The following is a 16,324-nucleotide window of genomic DNA, read 5'->3' as shown; positions in this document are numbered from 1 at the left end:
TTCCAGGGCCAAGCTGGCCTCCAGCCAGGGGCAGCTGCCAACACAGCCCGGGGCGGGTGCCGCCCCACCATCCTAGTGACTTTCATCTCCTTATCACCCTTGTGTGCTGGCACCAGCAGCCCACAGTGCCTCAGGGGCCTTGGCCAGACAGGAGGCTCAAAGGGCCAGTCCAGTGCCTGGCTCAGCATCCAGCCACACAGTCCCTCTGAGAAATGGGCCCACTGTGGCCTCCAAAGCCCAGTCTGTTTCAACGGGCTGGGATCTGCCCCACCTCTGTATCTGGGAAAACAAGGCCCTGGTGGGGCAAGAAGGGAGCTCCTGGCATAGGAACCTGCAGCCTGAGAGGGGAAGGGACCTGCCCAAAGCCACTCGGCAAGAGAGTGACCCATGACACCAGGAAGGCTGTGCAAACCACTTCCTGCAACTGGCATCTCATTGCAGCCCCACCCCCACTGACAGGTCCAAGAAGCTGACAACACTGAATACCAGCAATCACCCAGAAAGCCTCATGCCCTGAGTGGGCCATGGTGAGGGCCATGGCGGGGTGGGGTTGGGGGGCGCATGGGGGCATGACATCCCGAACTGCCATCATGAGGCTCACAATGATCGAACAATGCGGATCGGTCCAGATGCAAGCGGTGCCTGGCCCATACTCCAGAACCGCTGGAACAACATCTCAGGGACCCCTGGGAGCCAGAAACCCAATATTATCCAGGACATTTTGTGTCTCCTGGTGTCCTGCACCAAGGAGACACTTGGTAAACTGGCTAAATAGAACTGACTTCAAATCCAAACATCATAGCATTGGATTCAATATTAGGATCACAGAATCTCAAGTGTTTGCTCTCTGATCTTCCAGCATCCCAGAAAGGTTGGCTTACATACCTTCCCCAATGGGGAGCTCACTACCTCCAAAGATAGTGGGACTCTGGTTGGCTGGCAAGTTCTTACCAACATTAAGCGCCAATTTGCCTCTTTGTAACACCTGCTGCAGGTGGGCCTGGCCTCAGATCCTGCCCACTGTCTAAGGTCACAGAGCAGAGAAGCAGGGGCCACTCCAGATCCTGTACCTGGCCACAGCCTCTCTGAGCCACAAAGACCACACTGAAGGAATGGGAGGAAGACTTCAGCTCAATGGAAGTGCTGGTGCTACTCAGCTGTGATGGAGGGAGGTCAGCACAGGCCAGCTGTGGGCATGGGCAGAACTCCTGTGCCCCCAGAGCCTGGCCAACACCCCCAGTGCCATTTGTAGCATTTGTTATTCCAGCACCCACCTGTGATGTCAGGACACAGACTGAAGCATGGCCAAGTGCGTGGGCCCTTCAGAATTGTCAGCTTGTGAATGCCTGGGAGCACCCAGCAGCAGGGCTGGCCTGGCACTTGATGGAACAAGTCCAGCTCCAAAACTCAGAGGCAGGATGGCAGAGGCATGGGCCCTAGAGTCCCTGGGTTTAAACTCAACCCCAGCCACTGATAGTGTGGGTATCACAGCAGCCTTTCCCTTCCTAGCCTCAGTCTCCTACCTAGAGAGCAGGGATAACTAGAACAGTTGCTGGGTGGATTCCTTGAGATGACAATGCACAGACAATGCACCTCCTACTTTCAAGGCCTCACAGGGTCTGGCTAGGCTCCAACACCAGGCCTGTAGGAGCTTCTCCCCTTTCCTGATGAGCAGCTCAGAGCAGGGGCCCAAAGGGCCCCCCTCCTGGCCGCCCTGTCCTCCCTGCCCAAGGCACCCTCCACAGGTAGTATTTATCACATCACCTGGTAATTATCTGCAGTGTCTGAAAGCTCCAAGGAGGGGATGGGGGTGGAGGAAGACTGTCCATGCCCCAGTCCCGACACCATGCCACAGCCTGATCTCCAGGAAAGCCAACCCGCTCCTGTCTCAAGGCCTCCCTGGTGACATGCCCAAGCACACCTGTTCACCCACAGCCCCCTGTGACTTCACTGATGCCAAAACTGCGCAGCACTTTCCACGCATGCCATGCTCTCACCTGGACTTTTGGGGACCTCCCCCTGCCTCATAGCAGCACCTTCCCGACCTCCCTCGCTTCTTGGATGCTGGGCTCAGGAATGCTCTCACTGACGAGTCTGCGCCCTGCTGGCTAATGTTTCAGATGCGCCAGGTGGACGTGCCCAAGCCTGAGCTAAGCAACTGCCACCAGAGCAGCCAGAGTCTAGCCCTGGGCAGCTACCCCTGCATCCTCACTGGGCCTGTCCAGCTGCTCCCACCTCTATAACCCACTACCAGCCTCACCTGACCTCCAGTCCCCATAGGCCAACCCTCTCACCTGGAGACTCCCAATCACAGGTCCCAGCCCCTCTGCTGTTTCCCTACTGCAGCCCAGGCACTTGGCATGCAAATCTGAGCACACCCCTCCCCAACTGAGAAGAAAACACTCCAGAGGCCCCCCTTGTCCTACCTTGCTGGTGCCCGTCCTTTCCTCTTTTTTTTTTTTTTTTTGGAGTGGGGCAGCTGGATATGAGCTATCCTTTCCTCTTGCTCCTTCCCAGTCTTTGGGACTTTGCACTGACTCCATTATCATGGAGACACTCTTCAGACATCAATCACAATGCCACCTCCTCCTGAAGCCCTCTGGCACTGCATCTCACTCTGCAGGCCGGCTGCGACTGCTGCCTCCTCCACAGTATCCACAGTGCCCAACAATCTTCACTGAATGGATGGATGCCAGCTGTCAGGTGGCTAGCTGTTTTTACTAAAATGCATCTTCTAGGACTTTACACTGAATCCACCTAGCCACCTGACAGCTGGCATCTCTAATCTTGTAATCCCAGCACTATGGGAGGACGAGGTGGGTGGATCACTTGAGACTAGGAGTTCAAGAGCAGCCTGGGAAACATAGAGAGACCCTGTCTTTAATTTCTTAATTAATTTTTTTAAAAAAGGCCCAAGAGGACAGGGTTTGGGGAGTTTCATGTGGAGGCTGACAGGAAGGGGAACAAGAACTCATCCATGGCCAGGTGCAGTGGCTCATGCCTATAATCCCAGCGCTTTGGGAGGGCGAGGTGGGTGGATGGCTTGAGCCCAGGAGTTCACGACCAGCCTGGGCAAAATAGAGAGACCCCATCTCTACAAAAATAAAAAAGTTAGCTGGGCATAGTGGCACATGCCTGTGGTCCCAGCTACTTGGGAGGCTGAGGGGGGAGGATCACTTGAGCACGGGAGGCAGAGGCTGCAGTGAGCTGAGATAGTGCCACTGTACTCCAGCCTGGGCAACAACAAAAAAAACCAACTCATCCATGTGTCCAGCTCTACCAGGACAGAAACTTCTGTACTTAGGAGTCTTCCAGTCTTTACCCTATGTATCTCTTCATCTGACTGTTTATTTGTAGCCTTTATCTTTTTTTTTTTTTTTTTTTTTGAGACGGAGTCTCAGTCTCGCTCTGTTGCCCATGCTAGAGTGCAGAGGTGTGATCTTGGCTCACTGCAACTTGCACCCCTCGGGTTCAACCGATGATTCTCCTGCCTCAGCCTCCCAAGTAGCTGGGATTACAGGCTCCTGCCACCACACCCAGCTTATTTTGTACTTTTAGTAGAGATGGAGTTTCACCATGTTGGCCAGGCTGGTCTCCAACTCCTGACCTCAAGTGATCCACCTGCCTCGACCTCCCAAAGTGCTGGGATTACAGGCGTGAGCCACCGTGCCCGGCCTATTTATAGCTTTTAAAGTTTCCTTTGAGCTACTGACTTTAAGGGATGATAAAGTATGTCTGAGGAGAAAATAAAATAAAACATCCTTTGAAATAAACCGATAAACAGGTCTCCCTGAGTTGTGTGAGCTACTCTAGCAAATTAATTGAACCCAAAGAGGGGGCCTTGGAACCCCAACTAGAAGCCAGTTAGTCAGATGTTCCCAATGCCCAGACTTGTGACTGGTGGGATGGGGGTTGGTCTTGTGGGACCAAGCCCTCAACCTGTGGTTTCTGAGGCCATCTCCAGGTAGACAGCACCAGAATTGAGTTGAATTGGAAGACACCAGCTGGAGTCTGCTGCAGAATTGATTCTTGCTGGGTGTGTGGGAGAATCCACAAATTTGGTTACAAGAAGTCTTCTGTGATGATTATTGTCTTGTGAGAACAGAGGCGAAACACAGTTGTTTTGTGTGTGTGTGTGTGTGTGTGTTTTTGAGATGGAGTCTCACTCTGTCACCCAGGCTGGAATGCCGTGGTGCTATCTCGGCTCACTGAAACCTCCGCCTCCTAGGTTCAAGCGATTCTCCTGCCTCAGCCTCCTGAGTAGCTGGGACTACTGGCACATGCCACCATACCCAGCTAATTTTTGTTTTGTATTTTTTAGTGAAGATGGGGTTTTGCTATGTTGGCCAGGCTGGTCTCAAACTCCTAGCCTCAAGTGATCCGCCCACCTTAGCCTCCCCAAAGTGCTGGAATTATAGGTGTGAGCCACCACGCCAGGCCAAAAAACACAGTTTGAGTTGGTTTTTCCTCACACGACCTTATTTGGAAATAGAGTCTCTACATAAGTAATTAGTTAAGATGAGATCATACGGGATTAGAATGAATGAGCCCTGTTGGGCACAGTGGCTCACGCCTGTAATCCCAACACTGGGAGGCTGACAGGGGTGGATCACCTGAGGTCAGGAGTTCAAGACCAGCCTGACCAATATGGTGAAACGCTGTCTCTACTAAAAATACAAAAATTAGCTGGGCGTGGTGGCGGGCACCTGTAATCCCAGCTACTTGGAAGGCTGAGGCAGGAGAATCGCTTGAACCTGGGAGGTGGAGGTTGCAGTGAGCCAAGATCATGCCATTGCACTCCAGCCTGGGCTAACAGAGTGAGACTGTCTCAAAAAAAAAAAAAAATTAAAATTAAAAAAAGAATGAATGAGCCCTAAATCCAGTAGCTTCAGTTCTTTTTTTTTTTTTTTTTTTTTTGAGACAGAGTCTCGCTCTGTCACCAGGCTGGAGTGAAGTCACCACGCAATCTCAGCTCACTGCAACTTCTGCGTCCCGGGTTCAAGCGATTCCCCTGTCTCAGCCTCCCAAGTAGCTGGGACTACAGGCATGTGTCACCACACCAGGCTAATTTTTTTTTTTTTTTTTTTTTGTATTTTAGTAGAGACAGGGTTTCACCATGTTGGACAGGATGGCCTCAATTTCCTGACCTCATGGTCCGTCCACCGCAGCCTCCAAAAGTGCTGGGATTACAGGCGTGAGCCACCGCACCCAGGCACTAGCGTTATTACAAGGAGGCCATGTGAGCCGGGCATGGTGGCACTCACTCATAATCCCAGCTACTTGGGAGGCTGAAGCAGGAGGACTGCTTGGACCCAGGAGTTCAAGACCAGCCTGGGCAACATAGTGAGACCCCACTGCAAAAATAAGGAATGCCATGTGAAGGCCACACAGACACATAGGGTAGATGGTTTCAGAGACTGGAGTGATGCAGCAGCAGCCAAGGAAGGCCAAGGATTGCCAGGAGCCACCAGAAGCTGAAGAGACAAGGAAGGATCTTCCCCTGGAGTCCTCAAAGGGAGTGTGGCTTGGCCTATACTTGGATTTCAGACTTTTAGCCTCCAGAACTATTCTGTTGCTTTAAGCCACTGAGTTTGTGGTAATTTGCTATGGCAGGTCCTTACTCTGCCTATGGTTACACATCCAACAAGTGGCAGCCCAGGGGATTTGAATCCAGGCCCTGAGCCTATACCTGTGATCTCGCCTCACCCCGCCAAGCTCTGCTGCCTACTACAGCCTCATGACAATTCCTGGCCCTGCAGAAGGTTGACAACCCGTTCCTGTAGAGCAAACACAGAGGACATTCTGTCTCCATAGAGTATCCATCTGCTTCCTTCCTCCTAGCGAATGCCCCCAAACCATTCTGTGTCCTTCTTTACAGTGGCTACCAGGAGGCTCAGTGCCACTCAGCTACTTGCTGAGGTAACATTAACCCTGAGCTGGCCTTTTTCCCTCCTGGGCTTGAACAATACTACTGGGTGGGTAGAGAAGGGCCCAGAGGCAGTGCAAGGCCAGTTCCAGCCCTGGCTGCAGCCCTCTACCTGCCCATTGGGCCAGCTGGACCTTGTGTTCCTGTCATTTGAACTAGGCCACCGCATGGGTGGCAGAGGGCTTGAGACTCCAAAGGTGTGGCTGTCATCAATTCTTGTCTCCTGGCAGGTCCCACTTGGAGCCTAGTACGTTCCCATCAGGGCCTGAGGTCTAGCTGTGTCCTCCCTACCTGATTCTCCAGCCCCCAACCTCCCAACTCACTGACTCACTAGGGATGGCAGGGCTACCCTGAAGAATCCAGGGCAAGCCCTTGAGCTTCCACATCAGCCCCGGGAACTGAGAGGACAACATCGCAATCCCTCCACCCCATGGAGTCTCAACAAACACAGCTCTGCTGCTCAGGGTAACCCCAGGGAGACGGGCCAGCAGCCCTCCGTGAAGAACACATGTGGGCTAGCGAGGTGGAATCATGCCCCCATGCCTGAGGGGAGAGCTGTGCCTCTGGGGGCTGCTGTCCAAGTCAGGTTAGGCCAGAAATTGTCTCCAAAAGCCCACTCGCCCTAGGCACCCCACAAGCAGGCAGAGAAAAGCCCATCCAAGGATCTAGGCCCAGACACCACCCTCCCTCTTTTGCTGGAAAAATGTCCTCCAGGAACCTCTCGGCCAGGGACACAGAGGGTGGGGGATGAGAGGCAGGGGCTGGGGCAGTTCTCTGCCTTCCACAGGACTCTAAGCTCTGAGCACTCCCCCATACCGCTGCCTAGGTTGCCCCTTTCATGCCTCCAGGCTCAGCCCTCCATTCCCTCCTTTCTCCCCTCCCCCTGCCCAGTATTCTCACATTTGAGGGGACAGTGCCCAGGCCTGGCTCAGCCTCTGGGAGGATATGGTCAGGATCTGGGAGCCCTCCCAGCTGTGGCTCCAGCCCTGAGGCTGCAGGGGAAGAGGAGGAGGGCTTACCGGGCTGCCTGCTCTGGGCAGGGGGGTCTGAGAGGTCCCTGGGGCATCAGAGCTGCAGCTTAAAGCTCTGACCGGGTAGGTTGCCACTTCAGTTCAGCAACAGCGCCTTGGCCCTGGGGGAGGGCACGCAAGGCCGTCATGCAGGTTTGCCAGGGAGGAAACCTGTGGTGCCAAGGTGGCCCCAGGACAATGCTGGCTGCACTGGAGTGGGAGGAGAGGCTGTTGGGTCCAGCTGGCAGGTGCCAGGGGAGAAGGGGGTGCAAGCACTGCTCCAGCAGGGGTTGGGGGTCCGTGGATGGTCAAGGGGCTAAGACATCCTGCTGTCCTCTGCCTTGTCTCAGGGGCCCAGCCCCACAGGATGACAGAGCCTAGCACCCTGCCCTCTCCCCACTGCCATCTCTGGGCAGGCAGTGCTTAACCCAAAGGAAGGAACCTTGAATCTTCATAGGGTAATTAGCAGACACACACACACACACACACACACACACACACACATACACACGGGTGCTTGGCTGTCGTCCCTCATATATGCCCTCGGACAGTGCTCAGCCCTTCCTGCACAACAGGTACCAGTCCTCACAGGCTAAACACGTGCTCCTTGCTTAGAGAAGTGGGAACTGCAGATCAGTGCCTCAAACGTTCCCCACGCAGGAGATGTGAGCGTCCCAGAGCCGGGATTGGGGCTGCAGGGGCCCAGCAGGCCTGCAGCAGAGACCTAGGCTTCTGCTGAGGGAGCCCTGGGAAGTGGGATACACCTTGAGCTGGGTGGGTCCGTACCTCACCCTGGTCCTCAGAGGAGCCAGGGCCCCCATCTCACTCTGCCTGCCGCCACCCCCACCCCTTGTCAGGGAGGCAGACTGAAGCCAGCGGCAGATACAGCCCGCCTGCTGCCAGCTTGCCCAGAGCTGGGCTTAACGGTTAACCTGACTCTTCGTCCGGTTTATTTCCCAGGCTGGGGTCAGAGGTGGGGGCCTGCCCCAAACCAAGAAGCAGGAGGCAGTAAATATTTGCCAGTGCAGGAGTGTCCATGTAGCGTGAGCAGGTCCTACACCACAACTGCCAGCTGCAGAGATTTCTTTTCTTTTCTTTTTTTTTTTTTTGAGACAGAGTTTTGCTCTGTCACCCAGGGTAGAGTGCGGTGGCGCCATCTCGGCTCACTGTAACCTCCGCCTCCCAGGTTCAATTGATTCTCCTACCTCAACCTCCCGAATAGCTGGGATTACAGGCGCCCGCCACCACGCCCGGCTAATTTTTTGTATTTTCAATAAAAATGTGGTTTCACCATGTTAGCCAGGCTAGTCTTGAACTCCTGACCTTAGATTCCGCCTGCCTCGGCCCCCCAAAGTGCTGGGATTACAGGCGTGAGCCACCATGCCCGGCCTAATTTTTGTATTTTAGTAGAGACGGAGATTCACCATGCAGGGCATATTTCTAAAAGCAATGGGGGCAATACCTAACACTGGCACACACAGCAGAACCCCCCCACCCCGCCTAGAATGCTCTTTGCACGGTCAAAGCGACTATTCCCCAGTCAGCACTGGGGCCAGAGGGTAAAGAGGTGCCAAAAGCCACCTCGTCTCGGCCGAGCTCCGCGTCTCCCCTGGCGGCTCCAGGCCCTCGGGTTCTAGCGCCAAGACTGACGCAAGCAGGGCCTCCTCCAGTGTGATCAGGCCAAACCGAGGAACCCACTGGCCTCGCTCCGGCGCGGGGTGGGGCGGGCGCTCAGCCTTCGGACCCGGACGGGGCAGGGCCGCGGTGATTGGAGGCGGGGCGACTAGGGGCGGCCCCGGGAGCGGGGCGCAGACAGCCCGGCCTCCTGTGGGTTCGGCGACCATCGCGCGGCGGCCATGGGGGCGCGGCTGGGCCGGCGGGCCGGGCCCGAGGCTGGCTCTGAGGCCGGGGCGGCGGCCGGCTGCGGGCCCGCGCCCTACGAGCGCCGGGTGCGGTGGCTCCGCGAGATCCAGTCCACGCTCCGCGAGCGGCGGCCGGAGCGCGCCCGGCAGCTGCTGCGCCTCCTGCGCCAGGCGAGAGAAGGAGCCGTCCGCCCCTGGGCTGGCGGCCAGGGAGGGTCTGGGGGTCTGGGGGTCTGGGAGGCGCGGGGCTATGGGTTGTGGGCCTGTATCCGCCGGGAGGCGAGGCGGAGCTGGTCTCTGGCGCGCGCAGGCGGGTTCCGAGGGCGCGACAGGCTGCAGCACGCGGGGTCTTGCGTGGGCGAGAGGGCGACCGCCTGGAGTGAGGGCTGGGTGAGGTCGGCGGACCGTGTGGAGGAGGGGGCTGCTGAGTGTGTCCGGGTCTTTGGGGTTTGAGAGGGGTTGTGTGTGTTGAGGGTGGCCCGGTAGCCTGGACCTAAGAGCCCAAATTCAGGCCCTGGCAAGATGGGAGGGGCCCGGGAGGAGTGGCAAGTGAGGTCAAATCATCTTGTATTGAGAGACAATGGAAGAGGGTAACTTCCCCCTCCTCCAGGATCCGGGAGACAGTGGACCCTGGAGAGAGGACCCAGGGCTGGTCTAGGGATGCAGCCTCACCCCAAGACACCATGGCAGCCCACAGAGAGCCATCCATGCATCACCAGTTCTCCAACAGGCGGCTCATGCCCTTAGAGTACACATCCCCAGCATCTGTGCATCACAACACTCGGTCCGGTGGTGGCTCTGCTCCTACACACACCAGGTACACTAAACCCAGATCCCAACCCCTGGGTTGTCCCAGGATGCTGGTCCCCCCAATCACCTGGGCATGCCACTTCCCTCACCACCCCGTCCCCACCCCCTACAGCAGCTACCACCACTACCTGCCCCATCCTGTGAGCAGGAAGTCAGCCATGCAGGTGTTCGGCCTGCAGAAGGTAGATTAGAAATGGGGAAACTGAGGCATGGAGCGAAGTGGTCACCCCAGGGCCCACAGAGAAAATGTGGGGCAAGCCAGGGCCAGAGCCCTTCTTCCTCCCTTCCCTTCTCCACCTCCTCCAACTCTGGATTCAGCAGGCTGGAAAAATGGAGCTGTCCGTTTAAGAGGAGCTGTCTAGACCCATGGAAGGCAGGCTGGCAGGTTGCGGTCTGGGGCCCTGTCTGGGTCTGCCAGGCTCATCAGCCAGCCTTCCTCCTGGATCTTCCCTAGCTGGCATCTGTGGCAAACAGCAGAGCAGCACTGAATCAGCCAGACAACCAGAGGCACAGATCTCAGTCTGGGATGCTGCCTGGAGTCCAAGACACCAGTTGGGCATTTTAGCTGGGAAACTAGAGGGAAAGAAGGATCCTCAGAGACCACCTCTTTGTGTCTCAGAGGTTGGGATTTGAGGTCCAGCCGGGGCCTATCCTGCTCCATAACCTGCAGGGACCCTGCAGCTGTGACCCACGGCCTCCCCTGCCTGGCCCAACTTCCTGTGCTTGGGACCCACGCACAGAGCATATCACCTATGGATTGGAGAAGGCCCACATGGGGTCTAGAGGCCCCTCCTGGCTGTGGCTGCCCCATCAGCTCTCAAAATGTCCTCTAAAGAGACCCTCTGGGCCAGATGCAGTGGCTCACGCCTATAATCCCAGCACTTTGGGAGGCTGAGGCAGGCAGATCACCTGAAGTCGGGAATTCGAGACCAGCCTGACCAACATGGAGAAACCCCTTCCCTGCTAAAAATACAAAATTAGCTGGGCGTGGTGGCACATGCCTGCAATCCCAGCTACTCAGGAGGCTGAGGCAGGAGAATTGCTTGAACCCGGGAGGCGGAGGTTGCGGTGAGCTGACCTCGCACCACTGCGCCCCAGCCCGGGCAACAAGAGCAAAACTCCGTCTCAAAACAAAGAGACCCTCTGAAAGAGTATTCAGCCCCACACCAGTCCTGTGGGAGTAGACAGGAGGAGAAAGTGGAGGAGTGAGGCAGGAAGGCCAGGGCAGGTCTATGCAGGCGGTGGGGTGAGGGATGGGTAGGAGAGGAGGCTGGAGGCCTGAATCTTGGCAGGAGTGGTGGGGAGAGAGAAGGGATGACTAGGTGAGCTGGGGGAGAGAGGAGGACGGAAGAGTGCTGGGGGGTTCCAGAGCTTCTGGCCCCAGTGCCTGGGAAGATGGTCATGGAGGTGCCCTATACTGAGCTGGGGCATGGGTGGTGAGGCTGGCTTCAGGGTGGCATGCCTTTGAGACATCTGAGAGAGAGGTCCGCCCCCAAGGGAAGGATCCATACCTGTCCGCAAACAGATGCTGGCCGCAGCTTAGGAAAACCAAGGGATAGGTGGGAAGGCAGAGGATCTGAAGGGAACACTGGGGGACAGGGGAATTTGAGGGGTCATAAGAAGAGCAAACCCCCCCACCATAAGACGAAAGACCCCAAAGAATCCCACTGACAAGTCCTAACCCCAGAGAAGGCAGTGTCACAGCACAACACTACCTCAAGGGAACTGGTCTAAGGGTTCTGGGATTCACTTACCACTTCCCTGAGGGCTCCCATGTCCCTCCCCTCTACTTATCCAAAGGGTCCTCCAAGGCTGAGTGGCTCACACCTGTAATCCCAGCACTTTGGGAGGATCGCTTGAGCCCAGGAGTTTGAGACCAGTCTGGGCAACATAGTGAGACCCCATTTCTACAAAACATTTTTTTTTTAATTAGCTGAGCATAGTGGTGCCTGTCTATAGCCCCAGCTCCTCAGGAGGCTGAAGTGGGAGGATTCCTTGAGGAGGCAGATGTTACACTGAACTGAGATCACGCCACTGCACTCCAGCCTGGGTGACAGGGTGAGACCCTGTCTCAAAAAATAAATAAGCAAAAAAAGAAGGGGGCCACCCGCCACTGGACTGTTGGCCCATGGCCGCCTGTGGGGAGAATCCAGCCAGCCTTAGGGAGGAGATGGAGAGACAGGAACGGGCATAAGCAGCATCTGGCTGGCTGGGGTGGTGCCTCGAGATGGGAGACCCAACGGGCTCACTCAACTCTCTCTTCACCACTCACAGGACCTGGGCCTTGAGAGGACCCTCCTTCCTGATATCCTCTACAGAGATGTGGCCTTCCTCAACCCGGTCGACCCCATCTCCCATGACCTGCTTGTGAACCTGGCCCGGGACCTGCAGTGCCCCAAGAAGGTGAGGCTGGCAGGCACGGGCCCTGGGCTGGGCACTGTGGTGGACAGGGGGGCCAACAGAGCCCAGGGCTGGGGACTGGGAGGCTAGGTCCTTCTGCGGCTTGCTGTGTGGCCTTAGGCAAGTCACTGTCCCTGTCTGAGACCTGCTGCCAGCATCAGTATATTAGGCTGGCCACCAGCTAGAGCAAGTGTGAGCTGTGCTTTGCAGGACCCTCAGAGTCCTGGGCAGACCCATTTTCTGTGTGGCAGCACTGTGCACCAGGCCTGGGGGCCCAGACCAGGAAGACTATAGCTGGGCAGAAGTCATATGGGGACCCTGCGGGTCACAGACTGTTCTGAGAAATCCACCAACGGAAACAAACTCCTAGCCTCTGAATTCCTGGGCCAGAAGAGAGCCGCTCTCGGCTAGAGCCCCCGTCTGTCCGCAGGTCTCCATCCTGTACAGACACCCTTGCGGACGGGTGCTCACTGCTTTCCCCTACAACAGCTGGGGTCATAAGCAAGGCCCTCCTCCTTGCTGGGGTGGAGTTTGCCACCTGCAGCCTCCACCCCACAGCTGCCCAGAACCCCATGCTGACAGCACCTGCAGATGTCCTGCCATGAGCATCGACACAGCCCCAGGATGTGTGGCTGTGACCAGCCACCGGACCCAGACTCCTAGTCACAGTGAGTCCCCAACCAAAACCAGGGTATCCGCTCTGGGCCCTGCCAGCTCTGAATGCCCAGGTCTCTGCACAGTCGGCCCCTAGGACTCTGCGCCTAGCCCACGGCCATCACAGGAACAGCCAGGGCTTGCAGCTGCTGTGTGTGCTGCCTGCTCCTGGGGCTGCTCACAGAGGGACTGGATAAAGGATGCAGTGGAGCATGCTCAGTGCCAGCTTTGTGGGCCGCGCACCTCGGATTCCACCCTGAGCTGGGCCTCTGCCGGAGCCCAGTTAGGACTGAGAGAGAGCCAGGTGGTGGTGCTGTAAAACATTACATCCCCCAGCCCTGTCAGCCCAGACCCAGACCCCGCAGGCGCAGTCTCGCTTGGAGAGTGAGAGGAAGAAGAACACGCTGACCTGGCTTGTTCCTACTCCCTGGGATTGGCGTCAGTGGAGCACGGCTCCCTCGAGGGGCCTGGTCTGGCCTCCTCCCCCTGTGGCAAGTCCCCGAAGGGTGCTGAGGGTGGGCAGGCAGCCGGCTGATAGCCCGAGACGCTGGCCCTGGGCCCGAGGACAGGGAACAAGGGCTCATTGTCTGGGCTTCCTCCCGCCGGGCACTGCGGGACTGGACCAGCCTGTCCAGCTCCCAGAGGGCAGCCTCCCCTGGCTCTGTGCCAGGCCACAGCCGGGTTGGGGGGTAGGAGGGGGAGGCCCTGGTGGGCAACTCGGTGATGCATGGTGCATGACTGTGCTCACACACACACTTGGCTGCCTGGGTCCCTCTCCCCAAGGCCCTGAGGTGGGCAGGAGGGGCTCAGATTCACCATGGTGACACTGCCCTCCCACAGGACTATGAGCTCTGGAAGTCCTCGGACAAGATCTGCCGACAGCTCATCTACCACCTCACCCCTCACTCGAAGCAGCAGCAAGGGTCCAGCCTGCGCCAGAGGAAGACCCAGAGCTGGTAAGGGTAGCCCAGCCACTGCCCCTCCTCACTGCTGCTCCAAGGTCCCTTCTCAGGTTGACACCTGCACTCTCACCAAGAGGCTGGTGCTGAAATCCCACCTGGTGAGGCCCTCACCTGGTCCGCATGAGGGCCCTACCCTGGAAGTCAGCCTGGCCCGTGGTAGCAGATGCTCCCCAAGCCAAGCTGCACCCTCTGAGTGACCCGTTTGGCATTTCCCACAGGACGGTCCTGCCTCCTGCCATTCATACATCCCTCAATCCCTGGTCTGTTACACGGCCTGGACACCCCACCCCTCCACCCAACAGCCAAGGTGACCTCAGTAGGCATCTTCAGCTGAGACTTCCCAACAGGTTGCGGGGGAGGCAGATTCTGGATCGCGATTCTCATTTTAGAGGGAAGGAAACAGGTTCGGAGAAGTGGCTTGCCTAAGGCCACACTCTACCCTGATTTTCCTGTACCTTGTTGGGAATTCTTTGCCACTGCCAGGCTGCCTAAAACTGAGGCTTCCGTGGCTGCCCAATAGCTCCCTCTGCCATGGGTCCCTCTCAGACACTCCATCCTGGAGTGACTCCATCCATGGAGCCTCACACACAGGCTCAGTCCAGAGCTGGCCACAGGCACCCAGGCCCAGAGGCCTGAACTGCTGCCGGGAGCTTACCCTAGCAGGCCTCCCCTGTCTGCCCTCCACCCCTGTCCCACCTTGGGCCTAATAGGCCACGCTGAGCTTGGACCCCACAAGGTTGTTCCCTGCCATGGCTGGTGGGGGTCCTGAGGGTGTGCTCACTGCTGTCAGTCCCCCAAAAGGCCTGTCTGCCTAGTGGGCTCTGTTCAGATAACTGGGGAGAGACCTAGAGGGTTGGTGGGGGCGGGGGTCCTTCTCAGTCTCTGAACTTCCCTTCTAACTGAGAAAACACGGGGAGCCCTCCCTCATGGCCGGCCCCCAGCCTGCACACCCAGGACCTCCCCTTTCACTACTGTGGGCCTGTCCCTCTCTATCCCCGGTGCCCTGTACAGCCTAATAGCCGTCCCTTTGTAGGAGAATTTCTCCCTACCCTAAAAGAATCGACATCAGAAGGGGCACAGGGAAAAAAACATGTGGGCTCAAGAGTCAGAGCATCTCAGTTTGAGGACCTGGTTCCCCGCTTAGTGGTGTGTGGCCATGGAAGAGTTACTTCACCTATCTGAAAAATAAGTGAGATGTCAATAAAACAGGTGTGGGATGCTGGGCACACAGTGAGATTTCAAATAATAGTTCATGAAGAAAGAGCCTTACTGTGTGTGCATTTAATCCTCACAACAACCACGTCCCATTTTCACCAAAGGGGAAACTGAGCCTCTGAGCATTGCCCATGGCCACCCACTTAGAAAGTGACAGTTTGGGCCCGGGCGCAGTGGCTCACGCCTGTAATCCCAGCACTTTGGGAGGCTGAGGCGGTCAGATCACCTGAGGTCAGGAGTTCGAGACCAGCCTGACAAAGATGGAGAAACCCCGCCTCTACTAAAAATACAAAATTAGCCAGGCGTGGTGGCACATGCCTTTAATCCCAGCTACTTGGGAGGCTGAAGCAGGAGAATCGCTTGAATCCGGGAGGCAGAGGTTGCCGTAAGCCGAGATTGTGCCACTGCACTCCAGCCTGGACAAAAAGAGCGAAACTTTGTCTCAAAAAATACGAAAGACACAGTTTGAATCTGGCTTTGCCAGACTGTAGGCCTGGGCTGTTCCCGACAGGTCACTGTCTGTGGTCAGTGGGGGGACTGCCTGGTTGCCTAGTCCATCCCCACCTGCCACTCTCCCATAGCCTCAAGAGCAGCCTCCAGAAGACTCTGCTGGCAGGGGAGACTGTGGACCTCTCAGGCATCCCGCTGTCGACACAGGACGTGCAACACATCACACGCTACCTGAGCAGCCATGGTGCTGTGCTGGCGGTGCTGGACCTGAGCTTCACGGGGCTGAGTGATGAGCTGCTGCACCTCCTGCTGCCCAGCCTGTGGGCGCTGCCCCGCCTCACCCAGCTCCTGCTCAACGGCAACCGACTGACGCGGGCCACTGCCCGCAAGCTCACTGATGCCATCAAGGACACCACCAAGTTCCCTGCTTTGGCTTGGGTGGACCTGGGCAACAACGTGGATGTGGCTTCCCTGCCCCAGCCCCTGCTGGTCGGCCTGCGCCGGCGGCTGAGCCAGCGCACCTCACTCCCCACCATCTACGAGGGCCTGGACCTTGAGCCTGAGGGCAGTGCGGCCGGGGCCACCACCCCTGCCTCCACCTGGGACTCCACAGCTGCTGGGCTGGGACCCGAGCCCCAGGCCTGCTGTGCCAGGTGACCCACCACCCACCTGGCTCATTGCTACTGACTTGTGATGCTCTCAAGCACATGATAGTGGGCGATGAAGGTCAAGGAGGACTCACAGGCCCCCAGAAATCCAGTGTAAATGCTCAGCCTGAGATTAAGGGGACAGAAGAATGGACTCATAGGTGGCCAGGTGGCCAGCCCTGGCTAGAGGCTCAGCCTTCCCTCAGTGGGAGGGGCCCCAGCACCCACAGTGTGGACCCCGCAATAAAGAGTGACACCCGCCTCTGCTTTTCTGCATCACCAACCTCAGGGTCACTGAGCAACAGCCCTGCTGCTGGGGTGGGGAGAAAGGGTGGCTGTGTCTATCCAAAAGGGTGGGACAAAGGTCACACTGACCTTCCCCCAGGTG

At 57.3% G+C, this 16,324-nt stretch overlaps 2 protein-coding genes across 4 annotated transcripts in view, besides 4 other annotated features; one reads left to right on the top strand and one right to left on the bottom strand.

Moving 5' to 3' along the window:
- Nucleotides 1-16,324, bottom strand: part of GGT1 (gamma-glutamyltransferase 1) — a 45,247-nt gene that overhangs the window by 27,165 nt on the left and 1,758 nt on the right. The gene's annotated exons all lie outside the window — the stretch shown is intronic.
- Nucleotides 6,326-7,296: an enhancer, noted in NCBI's record as "H3K4me1 hESC enhancer chr22:24990503-24991473 (GRCh37/hg19 assembly coordinates)". NCBI's record gives its function as "activates a minimal SCP1, AML or CMV promoter by ChIP-STARR-seq in naive H9 embryonic stem cells {active_cell/tissue: H9 hESC(naive)}" and the evidence as "EXISTENCE:reporter gene assay evidence [ECO:0000049][PMID:30033119]".
- Nucleotides 8,346-9,338: an enhancer, noted in NCBI's record as "H3K27ac-H3K4me1 hESC enhancer chr22:24988461-24989453 (GRCh37/hg19 assembly coordinates)". NCBI's record gives its function as "activates a minimal SCP1, AML or CMV promoter by ChIP-STARR-seq in primed H9 embryonic stem cells {active_cell/tissue: H9 hESC(primed)}" and the evidence as "EXISTENCE:reporter gene assay evidence [ECO:0000049][PMID:30033119]".
- Nucleotides 8,632-8,861: a silencer, noted in NCBI's record as "silent region_13555". NCBI's record gives its function as "represses an Ori minimal core promoter by ATAC-STARR-seq in GM12878 lymphoblastoid cells {active_cell/tissue: GM12878}" and the evidence as "EXISTENCE:reporter gene assay evidence [ECO:0000049][PMID:35858748]".
- LRRC75B (leucine rich repeat containing 75B) lies at nucleotides 8,759-16,197 on the top strand. 3 transcript variants are annotated; one of them, NM_207644.3, is made up of 4 exons: nucleotides 8,759-8,969; nucleotides 11,883-12,011; nucleotides 13,503-13,618; nucleotides 15,421-16,197. In NM_207644.3, exons 1-4 carry the CDS (start codon nucleotides 8,793-8,795, stop codon nucleotides 15,944-15,946), a joined length of 948 nt encoding a protein of 315 aa, NP_997527.2. In that variant the 5' UTR covers nucleotides 8,759-8,792; the 3' UTR covers nucleotides 15,947-16,197. The 3 variants fall into 3 exon arrangements, with proteins under 3 accessions (NP_997527.2, XP_005261657.1, XP_047297316.1); XM_005261600.4 differs by lacking the exon at nucleotides 15,421-16,197 and adding an exon at nucleotides 12,439-12,676 and having other exon boundaries at nucleotides 13,503-13,587; XM_047441360.1 differs by lacking the exons at nucleotides 13,503-13,618; nucleotides 15,421-16,197 and adding an exon at nucleotides 12,439-13,075.
- Nucleotides 9,339-10,332: an enhancer, noted in NCBI's record as "H3K27ac-H3K4me1 hESC enhancer chr22:24987467-24988460 (GRCh37/hg19 assembly coordinates)". NCBI's record gives its function as "activates a minimal SCP1, AML or CMV promoter by ChIP-STARR-seq in primed H9 embryonic stem cells {active_cell/tissue: H9 hESC(primed)}" and the evidence as "EXISTENCE:reporter gene assay evidence [ECO:0000049][PMID:30033119]".

This window comes from Homo sapiens, chromosome 22 (assembly GCF_000001405.40).
Source record: "Homo sapiens chromosome 22, GRCh38.p14 Primary Assembly".
Taxonomy (NCBI): Eukaryota; Metazoa; Chordata; class Mammalia; order Primates; family Hominidae; genus Homo; species Homo sapiens.
Note: the sequence above shows the minus strand (reverse complement) of the source record. Positions and strands in the feature narration are given on the sequence as shown.